The sequence below is a fragment of the Homo sapiens genome, chromosome 4 (assembly GCF_000001405.40).
Source record: "Homo sapiens chromosome 4, GRCh38.p14 Primary Assembly".
Taxonomy (NCBI): Eukaryota; Metazoa; Chordata; class Mammalia; order Primates; family Hominidae; genus Homo; species Homo sapiens.
Genome location: NC_000004.12, coordinates 129,818,753 through 129,844,793, shown reverse-complemented (window position 1 = coordinate 129,844,793; position 26,041 = coordinate 129,818,753). Strand labels below are relative to the sequence as shown.

The window sequence follows — 26,041 nt, the reverse complement described above, 5'->3', positions numbered from 1 at the left end:
GAGGGTGAGAATAAGAGTCAGTGAGTGAGCAAGAGAGAGAGAGATCAAGAAAGGTTCTGGACATTTCTACTAAGCAAAATAAGGTAGAATGAAAATATGTTAAACAGAAATGCTACATTTGTGCATTAGAAAAGTGACATCAGCTACAGTGTGGGGAAAACTAGACATGTGGATAAGACAGATAGCAGGGAGACCAGTTAGGAAAGTAGCTATTGCAACATTCCAGAAAAGGGATGATGGTGTCCTGAGCAAAAGTGGTGGTAATGGGAACAAGGAGAAATAGAAGCATTTGAGACATACTTAGGAGGCAGGAGTGGTAGACCAAGACTGTGCTTAGTGTCAAAACGGGACTAAGTTGGTAGAGAAGCAAATAAACTAAATCTGGGAATACCCTATACTGTGTAATTATTTTTGTAGTCATTTTATACAGTTTTGCCCAGTTTCTTCCAATAATATATTCAAAGACATTTTCAATTATAAGAAACAGTAAAAGAGAATATTGCTGGAATTATAAAAGTGTAGGGATCCAGTGTAAGAGAATATGATTCGTTTTTCAGGCTTGATGTTGGCAGAATTTATAAGCAATGAAATAAGAAGCCTTATATGTAGTTGATCTTGACAATTTGCCCTGTGCTTAAAATATTTTTATTGGAATCATTGCATACTATTCTTACCTATTTCAAGTCAGAAAATATCACAGTCTTATTAGATGTGCATCACAGCCTACAACTAAATCCAGAGAAGATTTCTGACAAGTCACTTGAAGTACAAGACCTGAGACATCCTTCTGGCAGAAGAGTGTGTTCCATATAGTGGTAGAATTATCGTTCTGTCCCTGGCCAACTCAGCTAATGGACCCATTAGCTAACTTTTCTGCAGTCCTGGAGGTGAAATCCTGGCTTCGCAGTGTGATGTGTAAACCACAAATTACTCTTCCTCTCAAAAACCATTCCTCTTTAAGATTCAAACCAGCTCTAACATCCTCTACAGATATCTTAGCTGGGAAAACTGAGACTTTACTCTTGACAGCCTCACATTCCCCAAGATTCACATGTCTCACTCTAACTAAACATGAACCCAATTTCTTCTTGGACCACAGAAAAAAATCTCACTCTGAAAAACTGTCATTTTGGTTTCTCTTCGTTATGCATCTTGGATGATTGTTCTCTTGAGCCATACTCCCTTAGTATCCTCAACCCCTTCCTCCTCTGTGATCTTCTCATAGTTTGTGGTTTTCTGAGGGCTGGTGGGAAAAAACAAGTCAATGGGAAATCTCTGACCAAACCTTTGCCACTCACTGAACATCTCTTTCACAGCCCTCAATCCACTGAACCGTCTGCTATGCCAGTCATAGAGAATACTCAACGTATTAGGGATCTGAAATTTGAAAAGTTATTTATGAACAACTGAGCTTTTATGAATGTTTTATTGCTCTTTGGATAGTTAGATCTATGCAGTCATCTTGAAAAGAGAAATTTCCAAAGGCTCCAAAAAAGGAGAGGAAGAGGGGATTGGCGACTTATATAAAAGTTAGTTTCCAACTTCTCATTCCCTGACAAAGGTGTTTGCTGAACCCAAAGATGGTATCCAAGCAGAAGACTCAGCAATAACAACAAAACTTGAAGTTAAACTTGTGTTTGGCAGAGAAGCATCATTTATAAATTATAAATGAAGACTTACTTGTATGTTTACATAAATAATGGCAAGCTGAAAATGAGCAGAACTGCATTGCCATAACACAAAAAGTCAGCCCACTTGCTTCATTCGCATCATCTGTTGTTCTGCACTTGCTGGCTACTGGGCTGCAATTAATATTTAAAGATCATTTAGGTAATATAAAATAAATAATTATAAAGTTGTATGTGTTCTACAATATTGTAAGAAACAATTACTCCACTAAGTTTTACAGCAATGAATTCCATGACTTAACCAAGTAGTGAGTTCCTTTAAAAAAAAATACCTCACAAGGACAAAAAACCAAACGCCTCATGCTCTCACTCATAGGTGGGAATTGAACAATGAGAACACTTGGACACAGGAAGGGGAACATCACACACTGGGGCCTGTTGTGGGGTGGGGGGAGGGGGGAGGGATAGCATTAGGAGATATACCTAATGCTAAATGACGAGTTACTGGGTGCAGCACACCAACATGGCACATGTATACATATGTAACTAACCTGCACGACGTGCACATGTACCCTAAAACTTTAAGTATAATAAAAAATAAATAAATAAATAAAAATACCTCTTCTAAAAGAAAACAAAGCAATGCTTCTTTCCATGAGATACATGAACACATAAACATACCTTCTCATTTAAAGATAATTAACACTGCCTTTATTTCTCTATCCTTTTGTCTTATAATTCACAGACACTCTTGACAGAGTTTGCCCTAGTAATGGCTGACTGTTCTTTTTGATATAATCACTCTTTTCTCCTACGGACAGGCCAATATCTTCTGTGATTAGCAAGGGATAGCCCTGTCTATCTCGATTAGTCATGGATGCTTAGCAGTTCACTACATGCATCACCACTAATTGCAGAAAAAGTATTCATCTGGGCTCCTTTCCTTTTTATGTTTTCTTTTATCCCCAAACGAAATAGGCAAGTAACCCTATCCCTATGAGATGAACTGGCATTCGTAAAATACACTATGCTTCCTCATAATTATTATTTGAAAAAATATTACTTTGAATAATCTTGGCTGTTTTTAATGAAAATCAGGCCACAAATTTAGTAGCTCATGTAGTCCCTAAATTTTAGCTGCTAGTGTTCTTTTAAGGTAGTGGCTACAGGAATGAGTTGAGGAATAATACCATGTCACGGGTGAGGGTGGATGTTTAAATAAGTGTTTCAATATTTTTACTCTGAATCTGTATCCAAAATCTTATTTGCCAGTTAAACATTTACAATGAAAGTAGGAACTAGAGTGCAAATTAACAGAATACATTTAACGATAATAACACATATTAAATCAAGTACTTATTATAACTCATAGAGATACTACCCCATAAAGCTCAATAAAGCATTTATTTTCAGGTTCTTTTATCATATTTTTGGCCAATATTATACTTTCTAGTATAATAAGGACAGTTATGAAACTTTAAATATTAGCAATTCAGGAACTAATACAATTTATAAAATATAGGTGATGTTTTTTGAAGATTTGCTCAATCAATATTATCAATCTTATCTCAATTTCTAACTTCATTTTCTATTATTTGAACAAATAGATTGTGAATAATAACTCTGGAACATTAAATGTTGGAAGTTCAGAATGAAATGTTTTATTGCTACATCTGAAAAAAAAGAAAATAACAAAAAGATAAGATCAGAACTGTGAGCCTCACAAAGGTCAACCTCACCTTGTGGTTAATAAAATAATTAGCACAGGTAAATGCAGAATAGCAAGTTATTGTAAGAACTAAGAACATTTTATATAGCTATAAGTCAGCCCCAAATCAGGAAGGGTGACCTTTGAAATAACTGACAGTGGATGATTGAAAATGCCAGAGATGGGGGTCAGGGTTGGGATAGTTGGGAAAAGTACAGCATTAAGCACAGGGAACTAGTACTTACTGTCTAGTCACTCTCCTTAGACTCAAAACCACAGTGTAATTTAACTATTATTAGTCCTATGTGATGCATAAGCCTCAGCATAATCACCTATGTTCACAACTAAGCAGTAGTGAAATTAGGCTTATTCTCACTTCTTTGTGAGTCCAAAGTCCTTGTCCTTTTTACTGCACTAGGATGTCTCCCAGCTCAGGATGGGTGCTAGGCTGGAGACAAACTATGGTTAAGGAGAAAACAGATAAAGTCAAGTAAAAAATGAAGTCAAAATTAGAACTGAAGCTGTGGAAATTGATTCTAAAAATGAAAACCAAGCAATGAGGAAAAAAGAATTTGGAAAACCAAGATTTGGAAATTATTTTTTCCAGAATTTTAACTTTAAGTAAGTTCTCTTATGAAATCAGGTAATCGGAAAAAAATAAAAACAAAAAACAAAAAACACTCCTTTCCAGATATACTGTTTAAACAAGTTGCAAGGATAACAGTTAGTTTGAAACTCTCAAAACAAATTTTAATAGTCAACAAAAAGAGCAATGTAGTCCTCTGTGGAAAAACAGAGTTAATTTTAAACACATGTAGATGTGATACAGATAAAATCGAGAAAGGAAAACAGAAATGTTTTTAATGAGCTACATTGAAAAATATCTGGTGGAAAATTTAGTAAGTGAATAAATACAAATGTGGTGTTGCCAGGGCAATTGTCACCACCTGGTTTGCAGTCTCTGTCTTCTTCAGCCACATGAAAAATCCTATTAATTCATTTTTCTGTAAAAGGGAAGAAAGAAGAGCTTCATAATTAAAACCTCGCTCAAACTACAAAAATCAAATTATGACCTTTTGCATGTTTAAAACCCTAAAACAAATGGACACTTGAAAGAAAATTGACCACCACATTTTACTTTAAAGGGAAAGTCTAAAAATATATATACAACCAACAATCACATAATTAACTTCCTACAAGTTTAAGGACCTATTCTCTCTGACAAGATATAAACTAATTATATTTAATCAGACTATATTATAGGATTATACTATATAAAATCATGCTTTATAAAATAAAGAAGAAGTAGCATGGGAAGACCCTATGAGCATAAGATATAACTGCCCAAGGGTGACAAGGATAGAAAACAAAGGGGAAAAATGACAATATCCACTAAAATTAGTTTAGCTCCTTTCTCATTCCATTGTAGAAACCTGAATTGCTTATTGGTATGTGCACAATGATGAAAACAAAAATAGATTAAGCAGCCTGGAATAATGCCAATCACGTATTCTCATGAAGTAGCAGTTCTAGCATTTCATAGCACACAGATGACTCGCTGGAGACTGCAGAGGTAGCTCTTTCACGGAGACAGAAAGAATAAGTATATCCAGTATGGTTCTGCCACATCAGCAAAACTCTGAGCTTGAATCATGAAGCTGCATATGCATACTGAGAGAAAAGTTAAATACTGGCTAATAAAGTGGCTTTGAATCCAGACAATTAAGAATTGAAATTCCAACTCTGCTATCTTTAAATAAATGTTACTGAGATGACTTTTGTGCAATCATCTGCACCCATTTAAAGTGTACAACTCAATACATTTTGGTAGATACACCTGTGAAACCACCTGTACAATCAAGATACAAAACAATTTCATCATTTCCAAAGATAGATCATGTCTTTTCGTGGTCCATTCTTCCTTCTGTCCATATCCAAAGTCAACAACAGATCAACATCAACTTTTTGTCTTTCTAAATATCCTTGTATTCCCTTTGCTTGTGTATATATGGAAGCATATGGTATGTACTCCTTTGTGTTTGCTTCTCTCACTCAGCATAGTGAATTTTAGATTTATCTCTGTTGTTGCCATTGGCAGTATCTTGATCCTGCTTATTGCAGAGTGGTATTTCAGTGTTTACTTATGCCACTTGTGTTTCACCTGTTGATGGACCATCGAGTTATTCATACTTTTTGGCTATTATTAGTAAAACTGCTGTCATCATCTGTATATGAGTCTTTTTATAGACACATGTCCATTTGTCTTGGATAAAGATCTAAGAATTTGATAGCTCATTTCTCTAGTAAATGTCTATTTCACCATTTAAAGAAACGCCAGTTTTCTATAGTTTTTTTTTTTTCGCTTTTGTTTTTGTTTTTTTCCACCAGCAACAGTGTATGAGCATTCTGGTTGCTCTACATCTTCACAGGACTTGAATTTTTTCAACCTTTTTAAGTTTGACCATTATAATGTGTGTAGAGTAGTTTCTTCTTGTAAGTTTAATTTGCACTTTTTCTGATGAATAAAGATGTTGAGCTTCTTTCATGTGCTTGTTGAGTATTAGTATATCTTCTCATTTGAAGTGTCCACTCAAAAATTCAAGTCATTCTATGGACTTGTTTTCCTGTTGTTGAGACAGAAATACAATTTGACCCAGCAATCCCATTACTGGGTATATATCCAAAGGAATATAAATCATTCTACCATAAGGATACCTGCATGCATATGTTCATTGAAGAGCTGTTCACAATGGCAAAGACATGGAATCAACCTAAATGTCAATCAGTGATAGACTGGATAAAGAAAATGTGGAATATATACACCATGGAATACTATACAGCCATAAAAAAGAATGAAATCATGTCCTTTGCAGGAAGCTGGATGGAGCTCAAGACCATTATCCTTAGCAAACTAACACAGGAACAGAAAACCAAATACTACATGTTCTCCTATAAATGGGAGCTAAATGATAAGAGCACATGGAAACAAAGAGAGAAACAACAAACACTGGGGCCTTTCAGAGGATGAAGGCTGGGAAAAGGGAGAGGATCGGGAAAAATAACTAGAGGGTACTAGGCTTAATAACTGGGTGATGAAATAATCCCTACAACAAACCCCCATGACACATGTTTACTTATGTAACAAACCTGCACATGTACCCCTGAACTTTAAAGTTCTTTTTAAAAAGAATTCTTTTAAGTATTCTAGAAACAAATCCTTTGTCAGCTGTATGTTTTAAGATTATTTTCTCTCAGTAGATGGCTTTCCTTTTAGTTTTCGCTATATTATTATTCAAAGAACAAAAGATGTAAATTTTGATGAAGTCCAATGTGTCTGTTGCCTTTTATTGTTCATGTTTTCTGCTCCTTATTAAATAAATCATGGCCTACTCCAAGGACAAAGATTTTCTTCCACATTTTATTCTAGAATTTTTATAGTTTAGCTTTTATGTTTAGGTCTGTATTCCCTTTAAGTTATTTCCTTGTGTATGATGTGAGGTGAGCATTAACGTTTATCTACTGCTTCTCCTAATCTCTCCCCACTGTGCCCAGTTGTTTTAGCACTATTGCCTGGAAAGAGTTTTATTTAACCATTGACTTTTCTTGACATCTTTGTCAAAAATCAATTTGTCCTATACAGTGAGTCTTTTCCTAAAGTCCCTATCCTGTTTCATTGATCTGTTTGTCAGTCTTTATACCAATACTATGCTGTCTTGGGTTGTTCTCTGAGTGCTGTAATAGCATTGGTAAAGTGATTTACTATTTTTGCACGATTATCTACATTTTATTCTAATTTGTGTATTTTGAAGCTTTTTTATTAGGCCCATAAACATTTAAAGTTGTTATGTTTTATCACGCATGACACTGTGTTTTAATTGGTAGAAACTGATCTTTGTCCTATAAAGAATCTTGTTAGACGCCCAGTTAGTTTGTCAAATATAGGTGGGCAGGCCTATTTTCCTGGAAGAAGAATTTAGTATAATCTTTAGTTTGGCTGTTTGTTTGTAGTGGATTTGCCAAAGTTATTTTTACCTCTTAGAATGTAGAGCTGGCCATGGCGGAGAATGTGGGGTGACTTCTAGCTCCCCTAGAAGAAAAGAAACGGAGATGTATCCAACCCTTCTTTCTGAAATGCAGCAATGGAGAGATCATTTGCCATGTAATAGACTGGCCATATATTAAGGCCCAGATCAAGGAAGAGCAAAAACAAAGAGAACCATTTAGCTCATTCTAGAACTGAGTCAAAAGGAAGAGAAATATATGTTTATGTGACCCATCTTGCTTGGGGTTAACTTGCATTCTGGGAACTGACTAAAGTTGTAAACTTATACAACTGATCACTAAGCATGTTGTGCAACCTTTGGGTCTAAAGCCTATCAAATTAGAGATTCTAGGCCCCAACTAGGCACACGATGTATTCAAGTTACTGTATTACACTCTATTAAAAGTATTTCATGTCTTAAGAGACAAATCTGATTTTCAGATAAATCACCCCTTGAGCCCAAATTCACTTATTTGTCAAATAGTCACTCAGCTGGAGATACTCAACTACCACTAAACCCTTGATTCAACCCACTTCAGAAACAGCATGTGGCTGATATCAGTGTTCTACTGAAACCTGAATCTCCACAAGCTTATACTGACTCTAGCTCAGGTTCTTTGTTAGTCATCCTAGAGGGGCCTAATACCTCAGGAGGTAACTGAACCAGAAAATCGAAATTATTTTAGCCTAAATATCCCTGGCCATGGCCAAAGTCCCCTTTATTGAGTCTAATATGGAAAAAGAGTCTACTTACCTTCCAAGGCTTATGACCACTTGTACAATATGTCACCCCTGAACCTGTGACTTCTACTTTAGCAAACATGCCTCCTCAGCTGGTATGCTTTATACATGAAATGCTCAATTTAAAACAGCAGCCAGCCTGACATTGCTATAGGCAATCAATGGAGATAGACTCAGGCAAGAATAGATGCTTTGAGCTGAAGACAGGTTGTCTCAGTAAGAGAGGAAATTCTTAGATTTCTAAATGGAAAGTGGAAAGAGCCAATGTGAAGCACAGGATAGACTCTTAGACCAAATCAGCTTTTACCTTGGATGAATAGTTTGATGGTTATATTCTGTAAGCTGATCAGGACTATTTATGTATACCTTAAATCATGAAGTAGAACACTCCTGTTACAAAGATACATAAATACATGCACAATTTCTCCAACTATGAGATTTATATAACTTAGAAAAAGTAATATGATTGACAGAATTTGTTGTTTATAAAATTAGTGACACTGAAAATAGGGTTCTGTGGAAAAAGTGGTAAAAATAGATTTAAATAATGTTTTTAACTATAATAAATAAGTCTTCCAAAAAACATCTGCTTCTAAAACAAACCAAATTTATCTCCATTAAAAACCTGCTTAGGCAAGTAAGTCTTATCCTGAATCCCTTTCTTTAATTGTTCAGGGAATATTGCTTTGCTATCTATCTGCTCATCTAGTGATATGTTTATTCAAACTATACTACTTTTTAAAGTTTGCACACTACATATACTGGTTTAAAATTTAATACCTTGTTCATTTACATTTGGTTTCTCTTTTTTTTTTTTCAAATCACAAGAAATGCTTATGCTACCACTTGGCCCTTTCACAAATTATAGAAAATATAAGGTCATGTTATTAGGGTTTGGTAGCTTGTTCTAATACTAAGAGGGGAGAGTGCAGATGGGTTTGCTTTTGCTGCACTACCCAAATAAATGCATTCATGTAGTCTATGGACAGGAAGCAATAATTTTTGTTAAATTATTAAATGTTATTTTATTTTTTAACTTAGTTTAATGAATCAAAGATATTCATTGAGTATTTAAAATATGTATTTGGCTTCTTCTATGAGCCAGGCACTGGGCTATGTGTTAGGAACATATTAATGAATAGAGATACATGGTAGTCCATTTAGGATCACATTCTTATGGTGGTAGACAGATTATAACAAAAATCCCCAGATACTAAAATATAATAGAACAACTGTAGTCAGGGATGACTTCCATCATGAGGTAACCCCAGATCTCAGACTTAAAAGGTAAGAAGCAGCAAGTCCTAAAAAGAGAAGAGGAAATATTCTAACCAACAGCAATAGTGGGAGCAAAGCCAGGAAGCAGGAAGAGCTCAAAATGTTAACGGAAGCAAGGGGAGACAATGTGCCTTGAGTATATTGAGTAAGTGCATAAGATGGGGTCAGAGACGTAGGAGGGACAGGATCATTCAAGCCTTGTAGTAAATGAAATGAAGTTCAAGGAGCATTTAAAGTAGCAGTGAAACATCATCTGTTTCTCTAAAATAAAGAATCATTAAGAAGAATAGATTCTATGAGTTGGGAGGCAGGGCTTAGAAGACAGTGCTCTGGGTAATAAGATCATATGATGGTGATGCATATGAAGACAAGTGAATAGTTTAGGCTTATTTTAGTAAGTAAATGGATACTTTTAAAGGGCATAAATAGATAAAGAAAGGGGGCAAAACTAAGATTTATTCCTAGGTTTTTGGCATAAGCTACTGGAGGGATGGTAGAAAACTTTAATGGGATGGCTGTGTCCCCATTCATATCTCATCTTGAATTATAGCTCCCACAATTCCCATGTGTTGCGGAAGGGACTTGGTGGGAGGTAATTGAATCATGGGGGCGGGTCTTTCTCTGTGCTATTCTCGTGATAGTGAATAAGTCCCATGAGATCTGATGGTTTTATAAGGAGAGTTACCCTGCACAAGCTCTCTTCTCTTGTCTGCTGCCATGTGAGACATGCCTTTCACCTTCTGCCATGATTTTGAGGCCTCCCCAGTCACGTGGAACTATGAGTCTATTAAACTTCTTTATTTTGTAAATTGTCCAGTCTTTGGTATGTCTTTATCAGCAATGTGAAAACAGACTAATACATGAGATTTGAACAGTATAATAAGCAAAGGGCTGTGAGGTGTCAGGTAAAGAAGAGCTAGTTTGGAACATATTAAGTTAGAAAAATGTATACTGTATATCCATGTGGAGATAGCAAGAAAGTATTTAGTTTTTTGAGGTGGGGACTAGACATGAACATTTGGGAGTTTTAGTTTATAGATAATATTTAAGCCATGGAACTGGAGGATATTACCCATGGAGAAAGTTGATTTGGTAGAGCAAAGACTGCCCAGGAACAATATTTGGCGAACTCTAACATTCAGATCATCTATTGCTAGATGAACCAAGAGTAACCAGCAGCACCTTTGCTGAAAAATAAATAAAAATCATTAATCAACCACACATTTACATGGTCTAATCTTCAATAGCATGTCAATTGAAATATATATCTTAATCTTTTTTCTTTTGAATGTGAATTATTATCTCCATTTTTAAGGAATATTTAAATCCTGCTTTGGACACTCTAGCCTTAGATATTGGAAAATAATATAAGTACAAGCCTATACATAAAGAATTTCCCTATAAATTCTTTTTTACACCCCATTAAAAGAAAAACAACAGTGATAGTGACAGGTTTGGGGATAGTAAATACTAAAAGGGACAACAAACTAGAGATATCTATTCAGCTCAGTACGATCTTGGATAATAAAAAGTTTTCATTTCTATTACTAAATGTGTATTTCTAAATCAGGTAAAGAGATCTATTACTAAATGTGTATTTCTAAATCAAGTGAAGAGAAATTAGACTTCATATTCACCAATTGTTGAGAATTTATTCCTCCTTCAATCCCTCCATTCTGATGGGAGAGCCTTGAGTGAAGAAAGCCAATGAAAAGCTGTCTTGCTCCAGAGACAATATAAGCATTAGAAGGAGTACTAGTAGAGGCTGGGTTTCTAATCAGGGAGTGGCCTGCTATAGGATTCATCATCATTTTCAGATGAAAAATTCAACTTAACCTCCTAGGATATGCAGGGAAGGTTTGTCTGTGCCACTGTTGTTTAGTCCTTTTGTACCAGGGTAATTATTAATAGCATCACTTTCACATGTGTCTGGGTTTCAATGATAAATTATATGGTCACCCAACAAACATCCCCACTTAAGAACAAGCCAAACCAGACAACAAGGTGTGCATCACAGCCAACTGCTGATAAAGAAGTCTTTAACATCACCTCCACTGCTAATAATATTCATTTAGAAGATTAACTCTTTCTCTTCTTTTGGCCACTGTGTCTCCTCCTCCAAAGGAAAAATTGGCTTATAGTGTTTGCATGGTGCTAAATTCTTGTTCTTTAGATATAGTAGGGAAGATGTAAAAGATGGTGATTGAAAATCACATAAGCCAGCCCAGAAGTCCTTGTACCATGGCACTGAACTGATGGGAAAACTGAAGGTTTACGTTAACTTACCTTATGTAATACAACTGTGGAAAAGTTACAGTGTGAACGTAATTGTGATTCCCAAACCTGTGCTTCCAATCACCCCACTCTTCAGTTATCTAGTTTACAGTCAGATGGGGAGTAGAGAGGCTGACTGTAGCACTACTTTAATGCCATCTGTAACACCAGACATCTATCTATAACAGAAGTACAAAGTGAACTCCCCGAAAGTTGAGTTCTGACTAGGGGATTCAAAAAAATCATCTCAAGTAGTTGATCATTAGTTCACTAGTTATGGACAGAAGGAAGTGACAGAAGAAAAGGAACATTTCAAACTAGGGAAATTACATTATTATATTTGTGGAGGCATGAAAGTGCAAGTCAGGTTGAGATTATAGTAACTAAGTGTTGATAAAACTTATGATGCAAGATACATTAAAAAGGAACCTGGAGGAATAGGATAAAGAGATCTTGCTTACCATATAAAAAACATTTTATTTTATTGGACACTTTTGAGATTTTTGTAATGATTATTTTGGTAGCATTCTGAAGGGTGATTTGGAGAGATGGATTATCAAGTAGTAAATTAAAAAGCTGTTGTACAAAGGTTGGATAGCACCTAACCTAGGGGTTAGATAGAGCTAAACACATTTGAGACCTTTTTTAATGTCACCTAAAAATAAAATAAAATAAAATCAGCAAGCACTGAATTAAATGATTGGTATAAGCATTCTGTTTGGACAAAGTTCTACCGAAGAACTGACCCTGTTCAAATATTTTTGAAAAGACAGATGCCCTCTAGGGGAAAAGTAGGCTTGAGCTACTTGGAAAGTCGAATCTACCACCTACAGAAAGAAAAGAAGGTAATGGAGTCAACCCTTGATCTTCATAACAGAAAATTCTGAAACCTTTCTCCCTAAATGTGTTAACTCCTTTACTTTCCTGGTCCTTGTTGCTTTCTCTTTACATCCTACCTAGCACAGGTATTTATCTCTTGTTTCAGGATCATATTCTACCAGGAAAAGGTTTTTTTCACTTAGCAAGAAGTGGTGCATACTTGGAGAGAAGCAGAGGATGTAGAGCTGGGTTGAGTGTGGATACTGGCTGTCCACTGGGCACATTCACAATCTGAAAGGCTCTTTGATCTTGATGGGAACTTCTATTTGCCGCTCTGCAGCAAATCTTTTTCTTCCATATACTAGGACCTCAAATTTTTCTTAGTTTCCCCCCCCCCAGTGTGTGTTTTGAATGATTTACCTCAACTCCAATTTCCAAGTAAGGGCTATGATTGTGTACATCAATCTGCATATCAAACCTTTTGACCACATACATTTGGATTCAGCATTGAGGATACGACCCAATTCTGAGAGATGTTAACAATCTCTTAGGTTTAGCTGGGAATGTAAGACCTTTTCTCTGGCTTTTGATGAGTATGTGACTGTAAGAACTGCTATAAACCACACCAGAAATGTCTAGAGTTGCTTTATGCAGCCCAAGCATGGAACCATCTTGAGGAAGGCAACAAGATAAATGGCTGAAATGATTTACATAAATCGATATACAAATGTTTTTAAAGGAAGCAAAAAGCTAGTACGTGAGTGCAGGTAATGTCTTCAGAAGCTGTGCTATCATCTACCATGCAATAATGCTTTTCTAAGGCATGTTTCGTGATTTTTTTCATGTCTAGATAGGCGAAAAGACAAAAACTGGCATATATCAAAGATTCCGGAAAGAAGATTTGGAATTGGAGAAGTCACAGCTTATCTTAGTTGGGTTTTCTGTTTATAAGACTTGCAAACTTCCAGCAAAAAATTTTTGTCTCAAGATGTAAAAATTACTATATGTCATGAGCATCTGAGTGACTCCTAAATGAGTGAAACCTCATATATTAAAACCAATAATACTACTATTTATTGCACAAGGGATGTAATAACTATACACCTGAGGTCAATAACTGTTTCTCCTTTTGTCTAGCTTATGTTTCTGATTTGGACTCCCCCATAGTACAAAAAAAGTAAATATTATTTAAGTAAAAAATGTCTATGCAATTATTTTACAAGGTAGTAAGTAAAGAGTTTTTGCTTTGGGAAATTTGTGCCCTCCCACTCTATAGCCAATCATCAAAGGAATGGATCCCCAGAGAAGAGAGTGGAGAGTAGTCTACTCTGTTTTTAAAAGGATATAAAGAAGTTGAAATAATTACATCTTGACAGGTAGGAGACTAAGCTCCTGGAGCTGACTTAGTTCTCAAAAAGGTTTGGAGAGCTTACAAATGGAAAAAACAATCATAACTTCAAAATTCCAGACAACCCAGTAGAAAATTATTTCTACTCCCTTCTCAGCATTTGCAAGAAACTTAACCTAGAGATCCTAGAAAAAAGCCTTTAAATGTATAGATTTAGATGTATATATGTATTGACACTAAACTTCTTTCAACAAAATGTATAATTATTTGTAGGGAAGTGAACATTTCCAAAGAAGATCACAGGTTCACAATACTTAAAAACAGGGACATCTATCTACACTTTGGGTGTGGAACTTTATATTATACATGGTATAACAATCTGTATGAATGCAATGTATTTCATATTGTAAAATAGTACATATAATATACAACAGTTCATCTGTCAAAGTTACTCATAATCAAAAAAGCAACCCACTTGTTTAAAGTAAATTGTTACGCTGGAAAGTTGCTTTAATGTAATAATATTAATAAAAAAGAAATAGGACTGCGAATTCCACTAAGAAAAATTCAGCATTTATTGAGTCATTTTAATATACTAATCATAGGTCTAAGCGTTTTCTGAGTATTACTTCCTTGGATCCTTATTCCAACCCTACAAGTTAGATATTGTTATCATCCCCATTTTACAGAGGAAACAACTAAGATAGAGTGGGGTTAAGGAATCTGTTTAAAGCCACATAGTTAAGAAGCAAACAGAACGTGAATCTCTTCCTCAGAGCCTGTACTATTTCTCATCATGCTATAATGTTTTGTTGAGAAGGAGTCTGACTATTTTTTTCACTTCTAAATAGGTAAGACAAGACCTGGCATATATAATAGATCCAGCTAAGAGGGTTTGGAGTTTGACAAGTCTCAGTGTTAACAGGAATACCACTATAAAAGTGTTGAATTTGGGCTGCTCCCTTACTGCCTAGCTGGATAACGTAATGCTGCAATATAGGTGACCTTTATCTAACAGATGGTGACAGATTTTGAGACAAGCTTGAAGGAAATTAAAAGCCAGCAGGTAAATGTTGTTCCTACTAATGATAAAAAATGTTAAGGTCATCTAAAAAAGGCTTCTGTCTTTATTAAAAACTGACGCTGATTTAAGTGGCCCTACCACTGACTCCCTTGGCTTCTATAAAAGAAAGTGTGCATTGTGTTTTCATTTTCTGTCTTCTCACTTTCTTTCGTCAGAATGGTTCTGAAACTTCAGTATGTATCAGAATCACCTGGAGCACTTGCTAAATCACAGATTTCCAGGTTCCATTCCTGGAGTTCATGATTTAATAATATGAGAATTTCTTTTCATAATAAATTCCCAATTTATGCTGACAGGGAGTTTCTTGTCTATAGACCATACTTTGCAAACCACTGCCCCACTCCACTGTACTTCAAAATCCTTCAAAGAAGTTTAGAAGGTGCTCATCAATGTATCTACAATTGCTCTTAGCACAATGCCTGACATACATGTATCAAAACAAGCAAGTAAAAAACAAAAAAAACTTGTGAACAGGTTGGTACAAAAGTAATTGCGGTTTTTGCCGTTACTTTTAATAGCAAAGACAGCAATTGGTTTTGCACCAACATAATAACAGTATTTTCAAATATAAACTTTGTGAGAAAAGGTACTTCTTATTCCTTTCTTTAACAAAAAGTAATTTTGACATAGTGACTCACAACATAAAGTGTTTTAAGAGATTTAGATAAATATTCTTAGCAATGTGATTCATAATAACCAATAACTGGAAACAAAGTGAATACATTGTGATATAATCACATAACAAATATTCTACCGTAATAAAAATAAACTACTGCCACACATACAAGAAGGATGAATCTTATAAACATACTGTTGAGCCAATGAATCCAGACATAAAATATTACATTCATCTAAAATTCAAAAATAAACAGGGCAAGATAGTGGTTAACTTTGGGAAGAGATGAGTGTAGCAATTTGGAGGGGATATGATAGGAGATTCTGGAGTTCAGGTAATAATCTATTTCTTGTCAAGAGCATGTTTGTTTTTGATAATGCATTGAGCTGTACACTTATTATTTTTGGTTTTTCTGTACATATGTAATATTTTAATATGGTGTTTTATTAGTAGAAAATGTTTAAGCTTGAAAAATAGATCAAAGCTACTGATTTTCCATTAGTGGACAGAAAATATTCATTCATTGGATATTTTCCAGGTATTATGGGCTAAATTGCATCTCTATCTTCCAACTTATATGTTGAAGTTCTGACCCCCAGTACCTCAGAATATGACTGCATTTGGAAATAAGGCTTTTGTAAAAGTAATTAAGATAAAATAAAGTTATATGGGTGGGCCCTAATCTAATATGATTGGTGTCCTTATAAACAGAGGCAATTAGGATGCAAATAACACACAAACCTCGAGAGGAGCAACTATGTGAGAGCACAATGAGAAGACAGCCATTGCAAGGCAAGAAGAGAGTTCTCAAAAGAAACCTACTCTGTGGACACCTTGGTCTTAGACTTATGGTCTTCAGAATTGGGGAAAATAATTTTTTGTTATTAATGCCATCCAGTCTGTGGTACAATGTCATGCAAGCCCCAACAAATCAACATACGAAAATAACTTTCATATCTATTACCATTGTATATGTTTGGGATAACAAAGGACATGAAAAATGATAATCCTGAATAATGTCTATGTAGTCCTGAAAAATGAAGGAGAAAACTTTTTCAAGCTCTTATTTGTGCCCTGTGTTTATGAAATTGTGCATTGATCCATCAAGATAGAATTGTGAGTTAAAATTCATTTCCAAATATTCCTTCTTCCTCAAACATAATAAATGTTATGCCTCCATTTTCCCAACTTGAAAATGAGGCAGAGGAATTCAATTTGCCTGTGCTTGAATAGAAATTTTATTTACCAGTGTTCCTGATAAATACCCTTCCTGATATCATTTATGTCATTTCAGAATGTGATAGTTACTTTTATGTCACCACTGCTAGTCCACAGTGCCCAGTTATTTGGTCCCACACTAGTCTGGATGTTGCTGTGAAAGTAATTTTTAAATGTGATTAACATTTTCATTAATGGACTTTGAATAAAACAGATCACCTTCCATATTGTGAGTGGGCCTTATCCAATCAGTTGAGGGCCTCAAAAGAAAGGCTGAGGTCTCCTGAAGAGGAAACGATTCTCCTCTAGTCTGTCTTCAGACTTCAGGTTGGAACATCAACTCTTACTGGAATTTCTAGGTGCCTGTCCTGCAAATGTCATATCACCAGCTCCCCAAAATCACAATTCCTTGAAATAAACCTCGTAATAGATAGATAGACAGATAGATAGACAGATGATAGACATAGATAGATAGATAGATAGATAGATAGATAGATAGATAGATAGATAACTTTGTTTCTCTGAAAAACCCTGACTAATACTAACATACAGAGTAATTTTTAATTCTTAAATAAATCTCAACTTTTGTACTTTTCTTTCCTTTTGTCCCCTTTCCAGCTTTTCTTCCTTTCCTTATATTTGATTATTGGTGAAGATAGAAAAAAAATACTGATTCAACATTAAAGTTCAAGCTTCAGACTTATTCTAAGAGAATTGTCTATCCTTCGGGTCGACAAACTCTATCTGTAAAGGGCCAGGTAGGAACTACTTCGGGCTTTGAGGTCCATCCATGTGGTATCTGCAGCAATTACACAACTCTGCTGTTGGAGTGTAAAGGCCACTGCGGAAAATGCAGAAATGAATGGTCATGGCTGTGTTTCCACACAGTGTATACATTTACTTAGGGACATGGATATTTTGAGCTTCATGTAATTTTCACACATCACAGAATATTATTCTACTTTTGATTTTTTTAGCCATTTAAAAATGTGAAAATAGCTTCTTCTCCAAGAAAACACCAAATGGCTGATGATGCTGGTGGTGGGGACAAAGACCCCAGAGGCCCTGGGATATAATTCTTTTAAAAAAATACAAAAATTAAAAGAACATATAAAAATAAAATTATTTTTAGCACAAGTACCTTAAAGAAACAGGCGGTAGGCCAGATTTGGTCCACTGGTCATAGTTTGCTGATCCCTGATCTAGTCAGTGCCCTCGGTTTCCAACTAGGAAAAGTATTTTTGTTATGTCTGATGTTTTGCTTCATGGTGAGGGATTTCTTATAGAAACTAGATTTTAACGAAGAACAACACAGTCCATATGCCTAGAGGACAACCAGGCTTTTCAAGGATGTTGCTAATTAATGACATTTTGAGTCATAGAGAAGAAAGGTCACTATTTCATTTTCAACACATTCTTGAGAACACTGCCAAGAGCATCCACTTATCAAAGATTGTACCCACCAATCATGACCTTCCATCTTTTCTTTTTGGTTTGCTTTGTTTTCTGCATGTATATTCAGTTGATTTTCTGGGAACATAAGCTACTGAAATCAATTTAGTGATCAACCATTATTATCTCCTTTACTCTTCCTGCCATCTTACAGCTCTCTGCTTTCCTGCAAGCAAGATGTCAGGACATTTTTATTGTATTGCTATTTACTCTTCAGCTCAATAGTTTTTTCAAAGCAGACACATCATTGACATTTAGCAGTATTAATCTCTGCCAGTGCAATATGCCTAATTGGTTTTAATGAAATAAAGAAGGAGAACTTTGTGGGAAAATTGGAAAAAAGCTGCAAAGAACTAAGATCTCTGTTTTCAGATATTTTCTAAAGTCAATGGCATTGACTAACAGAAAATAATGTGCCGCTAAATAGCATTTAGTCCTCTACAAATTGTCAAGGTTGTATGTTACTGAAAACAGGGGTGAGAGTCATTTCTATTATGAAATTTGTTTATTTGGAAAGGATTTGAATATCAAGCACAGACTTAGGGTAATAGAAAAGTAAGCATTCTATTAATAACTTTGCTAATAAAAACCTCTTACATCAACATAAAGATAATCACTGACTCCAAATGCAGACACACAAAAAGTCTGCATAGGCTGAAGAAAATCCGACGGTGATCCTATTGAAAAATCAGACTACAAACCTTCAAGTTATGTACATAGAATATCTTATCCAATGTTTTCTTTCTTTGTCATGAGATTTATTTTATAAGCTACTGCTAAGTATATATTTAGTAGATTTTTATTACATTGTTAAAATTATCTGTATAAAAAATGAAAGTTTAGAGACTGGAAGGTTATGTCCACATAACTCACCTTTATAGGCTTGGTTGACAGCTGTTTGAAATACCTCTAAGACACTAGGACAGATTCAGAACTACCTCAAAAGCAACATGGCTCAGTGAACCAAGCAATTGAGTGTAACTCTCGGGAATCTGTATTCTAACACTGATTTTTCTATTGCCTAATTTAATCTAATTTTAGCCTTTTCACATATGGAGCAGACTGATGTGGGGCAAATAATCATACCACCAGAATTGCAGAAAAAATAATGCAATTTACCAAGTACAACTTACCTTTCATCACCCTCCAGATCCTAACTCCTCAGCCATGCACATAGTGCAAAGGCTGCCACCCTCATGCCAAAAATGCATGCTTCAACAAAGCCTAGAATGATGACCTAGAAAAGCTAAGAACAAGTAGTTTGATTATTGAGAGAGAGGAAAATGGTCCTGCTCCCATACAAGTAATTGGGAGCAGGATTCAAAGCAATTTTTGAAATAAATTACCTCATCTATAAAATGTATTCTTTATTCTAATTCTTTATTATATTTTACTTGTCTTACTTTTCCCTTATAAGGTATGCATTTTTTTTAAGACTCAATATTTATTAGACTGGTAGATTCACTGATTTACTGAACATTTATATTAACGTACTCATCATAAGCAACAATTAGTTGTACCCTTATTATATTTTCTCTCATCACAATAGAATGCTCTCAAACCTACTCAATACCAGAATGCTCATTTTTCTTGGCATTCTCAAGACTTGGATCTTCACAAAAAAAGGTACCAGAGATTAACTGAGAAACATTATGAGCTCCTTTACAGATTGACCTGGAGAGAATAGAATGTTGCTATAGGCAGCCTACATGCCTTACGGTGCAAGCTAATAAATCTATGGATTGCAGGTTATCACATTGACTCAACCACTCTCAGTCATAACACTGCTGAAGAGGGCCTTTTCTTTAGCTGACTTGGTCTCTGCCATTGACAGTGCTATCCCTTTTTCTTTCTAGGGTAACTCTTCCAAATTCCCATTCCATCATTCTTACAGTACAAGTGCAATCTCTACTTCTACCCCATTATACTCTTGCTAGCTCAGGGATTTCATTATCCTACATAGAGGGCTAATACTTCAGCAAGAAGTGGACTAGAAAATCCATGAAGCCTTCCACCACAAAAATTATTTAGCTTTGCAATTTTTTAACCCAGTTGAACATGTTAGTAAAATCAGAAGCTGTGAAGCATGGAATTCTAAATTGAGACTACTGAAAAGTATCACAAGAACAAAAATAAGAGTATGATGTCACTCTGGCTTTTTAAAATATCTAGAAATAATTTACATGCTTTCAGTAACTATATCATACATAATTTTAATATGACTTTATATTTAAATAGCACTTTATAATTTTAAAATATCACATATATTATTTGATTTCTATAACTGCTTCTATTGCATTTCTTCCTGTAAGAGAGATGTCTTCAAACATTATAAAGGTTTTAATCAAATGGTAACAATATGCTAAGAATCTCTAATGAAATCTATTGTGAATGTGAATATAAATGCATTTGACAATTGCAAAATCAGTTGGTTCTCTAAAATATAATTTACATTTCCCAGGCTTTTTTGCATCTTAGAATTTCTAATCCCCCAAGAGTATCATTCTTTTATAAAAATGACCAGAACCTTCATGCCAACAACACTTAAATCTATACCTCAATGCCTAAACTAAAAATAAATATGCATTTTGAGAGAAATAAAATGATCATTAACTGTTTAGTGTAAATATCCCAAAATGACTCATTTTGTTCACTTAAGAATCCTATTACTCATGGTACTGTTAATTCCAGAATTTTTTTGAACATTTGGGCTGTTTGTGAGCTAGAATAAAACTGTGAGTGCTTGAAGAAGCCATGGAGATTATTTCACGCTAACCATTCATTTAGCAGAAAGGGAAAGGGAGAGATCAGGTGACTTGCCAGAACTAAAATACTCATCAAGTGATAGAGTTTAGATCTGAATGCAGAACTTATGACTCCCAAGACCCCAGTCAGCTTCTATGGCAGAATTTTCACTTGGAGCCTGCTATAATAACTCTAGATGAGCCACATGACAACTTTGTTTTCCAGAAAAAAAGTTAAAACATCATCATTGTTATTGTTTATCTAGTTACTTTCGTATGTTGTATCTAACCTTTAAAATTAAAGAAGACTGTTTTCTTCTTTATTCTACCCTGAACTACTTCAGAAATTTGGGAAGTATACATAACTTCTGTGAATTATCCATTATTACCTTCTTCATTATGGAACTTAGTTAAGTTTCTAAACATTTTGCCATGCTGATATTTTGGAGTACAGAAGCCAGACAAGACAAGGGTCCTGTCTCTGCAAAAACTTATCAAGCCAGAACACCATGGGTTCCATGGAAATGACTCAGATGCCCCAAGAGGATTAAGAGGTTGGAGCAATCTCTCTTCCTTCTTTTAACCCTCTAACCTCCAAGTACCTCCACTATATTAACAAAACAGAAGAAAATTTTAAAATGTAGAGAAATTCTGTTCTATTTTCATCAGCTCCTACTTTCTTGAGACAGGAAGGTAAAGTGACCAGTGCCTTTCACTTGGAAAATAGAAACAAAAAGATCATATAACTTTGGGCAATTATCCTAAAATGTTTGGAATCACTTCATTACATAGGCTTAGTATGCCATATTCTGTGAACGAGTTTGAGATTCCCATGTAGCTTCTGAGCTGCAGCATTCCTCACTTTATCTTGACTTGTTGAACCAGTGTTACATTTGAGTTTCTGACTCAGGCCCTCTACCAACAAAGTATCCCTCTGATGCAAGGATCCCTATGCTGGCATCAGGCCATCTGGCTGGATCAGCTTACCCTTATCAAGAATCCTGTTTTTCCAGGTGTCAGCTGGGATCCCACTGTGAATGGAGCTGACTATCCAGAAAAAAATTGTGTCACCCTTTTTCCTTTCTGCCGTAACCTCTCAGCAATACTGAATGTCCTCATACCCACATTTGTCTTCACCATACCTTGGTTTACTGTGCCTTTCGAGCATTGTTGGTGGGACCACTTGAATAACTACAAGGGCAGCCACTCATAGAACACATACTTTCTTGGCTGGATTTCCCTGAAAGCAGAGTCTCAGATAAGAACTTGAGTGCAGGTAGTTTATTTGATAGATGATCTCAAGAAACAGGAGAAAAGGAGGGGTAGACTGAGACACAGAAGAATAAAAAAGCTAACAAAAAATTGTATTGAGGTCACAACTATGAGGCAGATTGGCTTGAACTTTTGAAATCTTCTCAGAGCATGAAAAATAAAATAATCTAGAATTGTTCCTCTAAAAGATGGTGGGGTAGACTACATATGTTCTTGTGGTATCAGAGAACCTCTAAGCAGAAAATGGAAATATGTATTGCCAGCTCTGTATGGGTCAGCATAAGGTGAATTGGAGCTTAAAGAAACTGTCTACTAAAACTACAGCTAAAATCAGATCTGTGCAAGGGAATGTGAGGCAGGCACCCAAGCCCTCTGCTGCATCATCTTTCCTTGTCCCAGTTTCCTTTTCCTGTCCAGGGAGTACATGTGCCAAAGGGCCCACAAAACCTTAAATACAAGTCATGTTATGACACCAGAGAAATCTAGCACATGTTATGACACCAGAGAAATTTAACACATACTCAACTATTTTTACACATATAACTAAGGTAAACAAGTGATGCTAATTGTGAGAGATTCTACCAAATGCCTGTGAGAATGATCATTTGAAACTAAGAGAGAAATCATGGCTATCGATTTTATTTTTACATCTGGAAAACACAGATCAAGCAGGAATAACCTGTATCAGAATGATAGGAGATATCAAATATCTATCTTAGGCTGCTAGTTAACAAGCTAACAAGTTTACAACAGAATGGTCAGTATATTTTTTTTATATCTCAAATAACCAAAGCTACAGGTCACAGGGGGTGGCGAGGAGACTTGTAATAATTGCAGCTGTGAAACAATAGCCTTAGTCCAAAAATTTTAAATTATTCTGAGATGGAGAAAGGTTGATTTGAGGAATTTAAAAAATGACAGTTGTATAAAACTAGTATTGTAAAACATTAAATAGCTGTTATTATAACTGCTTACAATTAAGGCCATTAAGCTTTGGAAACAGAAAGGTAATATGATACACCCAATGGGACAGAGGCAAAATTTGGCAGAGTCAGATGTTTCAGTCCAGGTTTGTCAGCTTTTAAAGCCAATGCTCTTTCTTTTTATTTTTAATTTTTTTAAAAAATTTTCAGTTCAGGGATATATGTGAAGGTCTGTTACATGGATATATTGGGTGATGCTGACATTTGGGCTTCAGTTGAACCTGTCACCCAAATAGTGAACATAGTACCCGATAGGTAGTTTTTCACCTCTTCCCTCTCCTACTGGTGTCTACTGTTTCCACATTTATTTTCATGTGTCACCAGTGTTTGGCTCCTATTTATAAACTAGAACATGTGATATATGGCTTTCTGTTTCTGTGTTAATTCTCTTAGGATAATAGCCTCCAGATGCATCCATGTTGCTGCAAAGCACATAATTTCAGTCTTTTTTCTGGCTGCACAGTATTTCATGGTGTATATATACCATATTTTCTTTATCCAATCCCAGTTTATAGACACCTAGGTTGATTCTACGTCTTTGTAATTGTGAATGGTGGTGCAACATGCAATTGCATGTGTCCTTTTGGTAGAATGATTTATTTTTCTCTGAGTATATACTCAGTAATGGGATTGCTGGGTTAAATGGTAATTCTATTTTTAGTTCTTTGAGAAATCTCTAAACTGCTTTCTATAGAGACTGAACTGCTTTCTATACAGACTGAACTAATCCTACAAACAATGTATAAGCATGCCCTTTTCTCCACAGCCTCACCAACATCTGTTATTTTTTTATTTTTCAAAAATATCCATTCTGACTGCTGTGAGATGATATTTCATTGTGGTTTTGATTTGCATTTCTCTGACAGTTAGTGATGATGAGCATTTTTTCATGTTTGTGGCCATTTGTCCAACTTCTTTTGAGAAGTGTCCATTCATGTCCTTTGCCTACTATTTTTATAATATGTATTATTTTATTTTATATCTTTATATGTTTGTTTCAGCTAGAATTTATTTTGCCGTAGGTGTCTAGTAATCCAGCTTTATTTTTTCCCATATGGTAGGCCAGTACTCTTTTTTTTTTAAGCAAATTCAATTATGTTATATGTGTACATTTATGGGGTACAAGTCTTTGCCTATTTTTTAATGTTTTTTTTTCTTGTTGATTTGTTTTGGTTCTTCATAGATTCTGGATATTAGTCCTTTGACAGATGCATAGTTTGCAGATATTTTCTGCCATTCTTTAGATTGTCTGTTTACTCTGTTGATAGTTTGTTTTGCTCTGCAGAATCTTTAGTTTAGGTCAAAGTTGTCAATTTTTGTTTTTGTCATAAATTATTTACCTAGATCAATTTCCAGAGAGTATTTCCTAGGGTTTCTTGTAGGATTTGTATAGTTTAAGGTCTTACATTTAAGTCTTTAACCCATTTTGAGTTAATTTTTGCATACGGTAAAAGGTAGGAAATAAAAAAAAGCCTGAATAGCCAAAGCAATTTTAAGCAAAAAGAACAAAACCAGAGGCATCACATTACCTGACTTCAAATTATACTACAAAGCTACATTAACCAAAATAGCATGGTACTGGCACAAAAAAATAGACATAGGTCAATGTCAATGGAACCAAATAGAAAATGCAGAAATAAAGCTACACACCTACAACCAACTAATGTCTTACAATGTCGACAGAAATAATAGAGAAAGGACATCCCATTCAATGAATGGTTCTGAGAATGCTGGAAAACCATATACAGAGGAGTGAAACTTGACCCTACCAATGTTCTTTCTACTCTTCTAGAGAGCAGCTCAAGCCTTCTAATGATTGCACATGTTACAATGCACTCTCCGGTTATGGGAAATATGACATTTTTAAAAAATATACAACAGAAAATAGTTCAAATTGTTTCAAAATTATTGGATAATTTCATTATTTTACATATGAAATTCAAAGTTTTCAGTTTTATGTAAAGTAACTGTAAAGGCAGAAATTCAATTATGCCCTGGTGATACACAAATTTTCCCTTTGTCAAACCTATATGAGGTACAATTTTAGGGACACAAAACTCAGATTTATATAAACTGGGTATATAAATATTCTAAAAATATATGAAAACTTACACATTATTAACAGTTTTAGCCATACTATTTCTAAAAATAAGTACTTGAGTTTAAACTCTAGTATTTGTAATATATGTTATGTTTGACACATTTTCTTGGTCTTACAACACTAGAAAGGAATATCAAGATGAGGACAACTTCAAAGTTGAAATAAACCCTGAATGAAGAGAAAAACTGGGAGGCTTTATGAGGTGGATCAAAGTGTAAAAGGAAATAAGTCAGAACGAGAGCTATGATCATCTGTAAGAGAAGTTTCTGCCAACAGTCTGAATATTTAAGAGTATAAAACAGTTAATGGTGGAAGAAAAAGAAATGACAAGTACTATGATGTTCACTTAAAAGCTAGCATTGATATCTAGAGGCAAAAACAAACTCTGAGAAAGGAACTTAATTATCCAAAATACAGACAGAGATCTATGACTGTTTCAACTCTTGCTAATCAAAGAGGTGGGCTTGTCTACATCACTAGTAGTAAGTTCTTGAGCAACGTACTGCCATCCCAAATATGTTTAATTAAATAATCTGTAAGGATATAATGAATATACTAGACATCCCAACTTGGACAAAGTAGGAATTCAGATATGTTTGAGCATGTCTCCTGAACTAATGATTGAGAAAAAAGGAGCCAATTTGCATGGCTGATTTTAGCTACAGACAGAAGATAGTTTTATTCAAGTAATTTCTGTGGGTTAGGGGAAAATATATTACCCTGTCAATGTTCA

General features: G+C 35.0%; 1 long non-coding RNA gene across 1 annotated transcript in view; it reads right to left on the bottom strand.

Moving 5' to 3' along the window:
• LINC02465 (long intergenic non-protein coding RNA 2465) overlaps positions 1-26,041 on the bottom strand; it is a 183,750-nt gene that overhangs the window by 110,575 nt on the left and 47,134 nt on the right. Inside the window, exons 8-10 of the long non-coding RNA NR_151713.1 lie at positions 19,342-19,454; positions 10,470-10,584; positions 7,369-7,423 (exon numbers count right to left, since the gene is read on the bottom strand). This is a non-coding gene — a long non-coding RNA (long intergenic non-protein coding RNA 2465). The remainder of the gene's footprint in view (positions 1-7,368; positions 7,424-10,469; positions 10,585-19,341; positions 19,455-26,041) is intronic.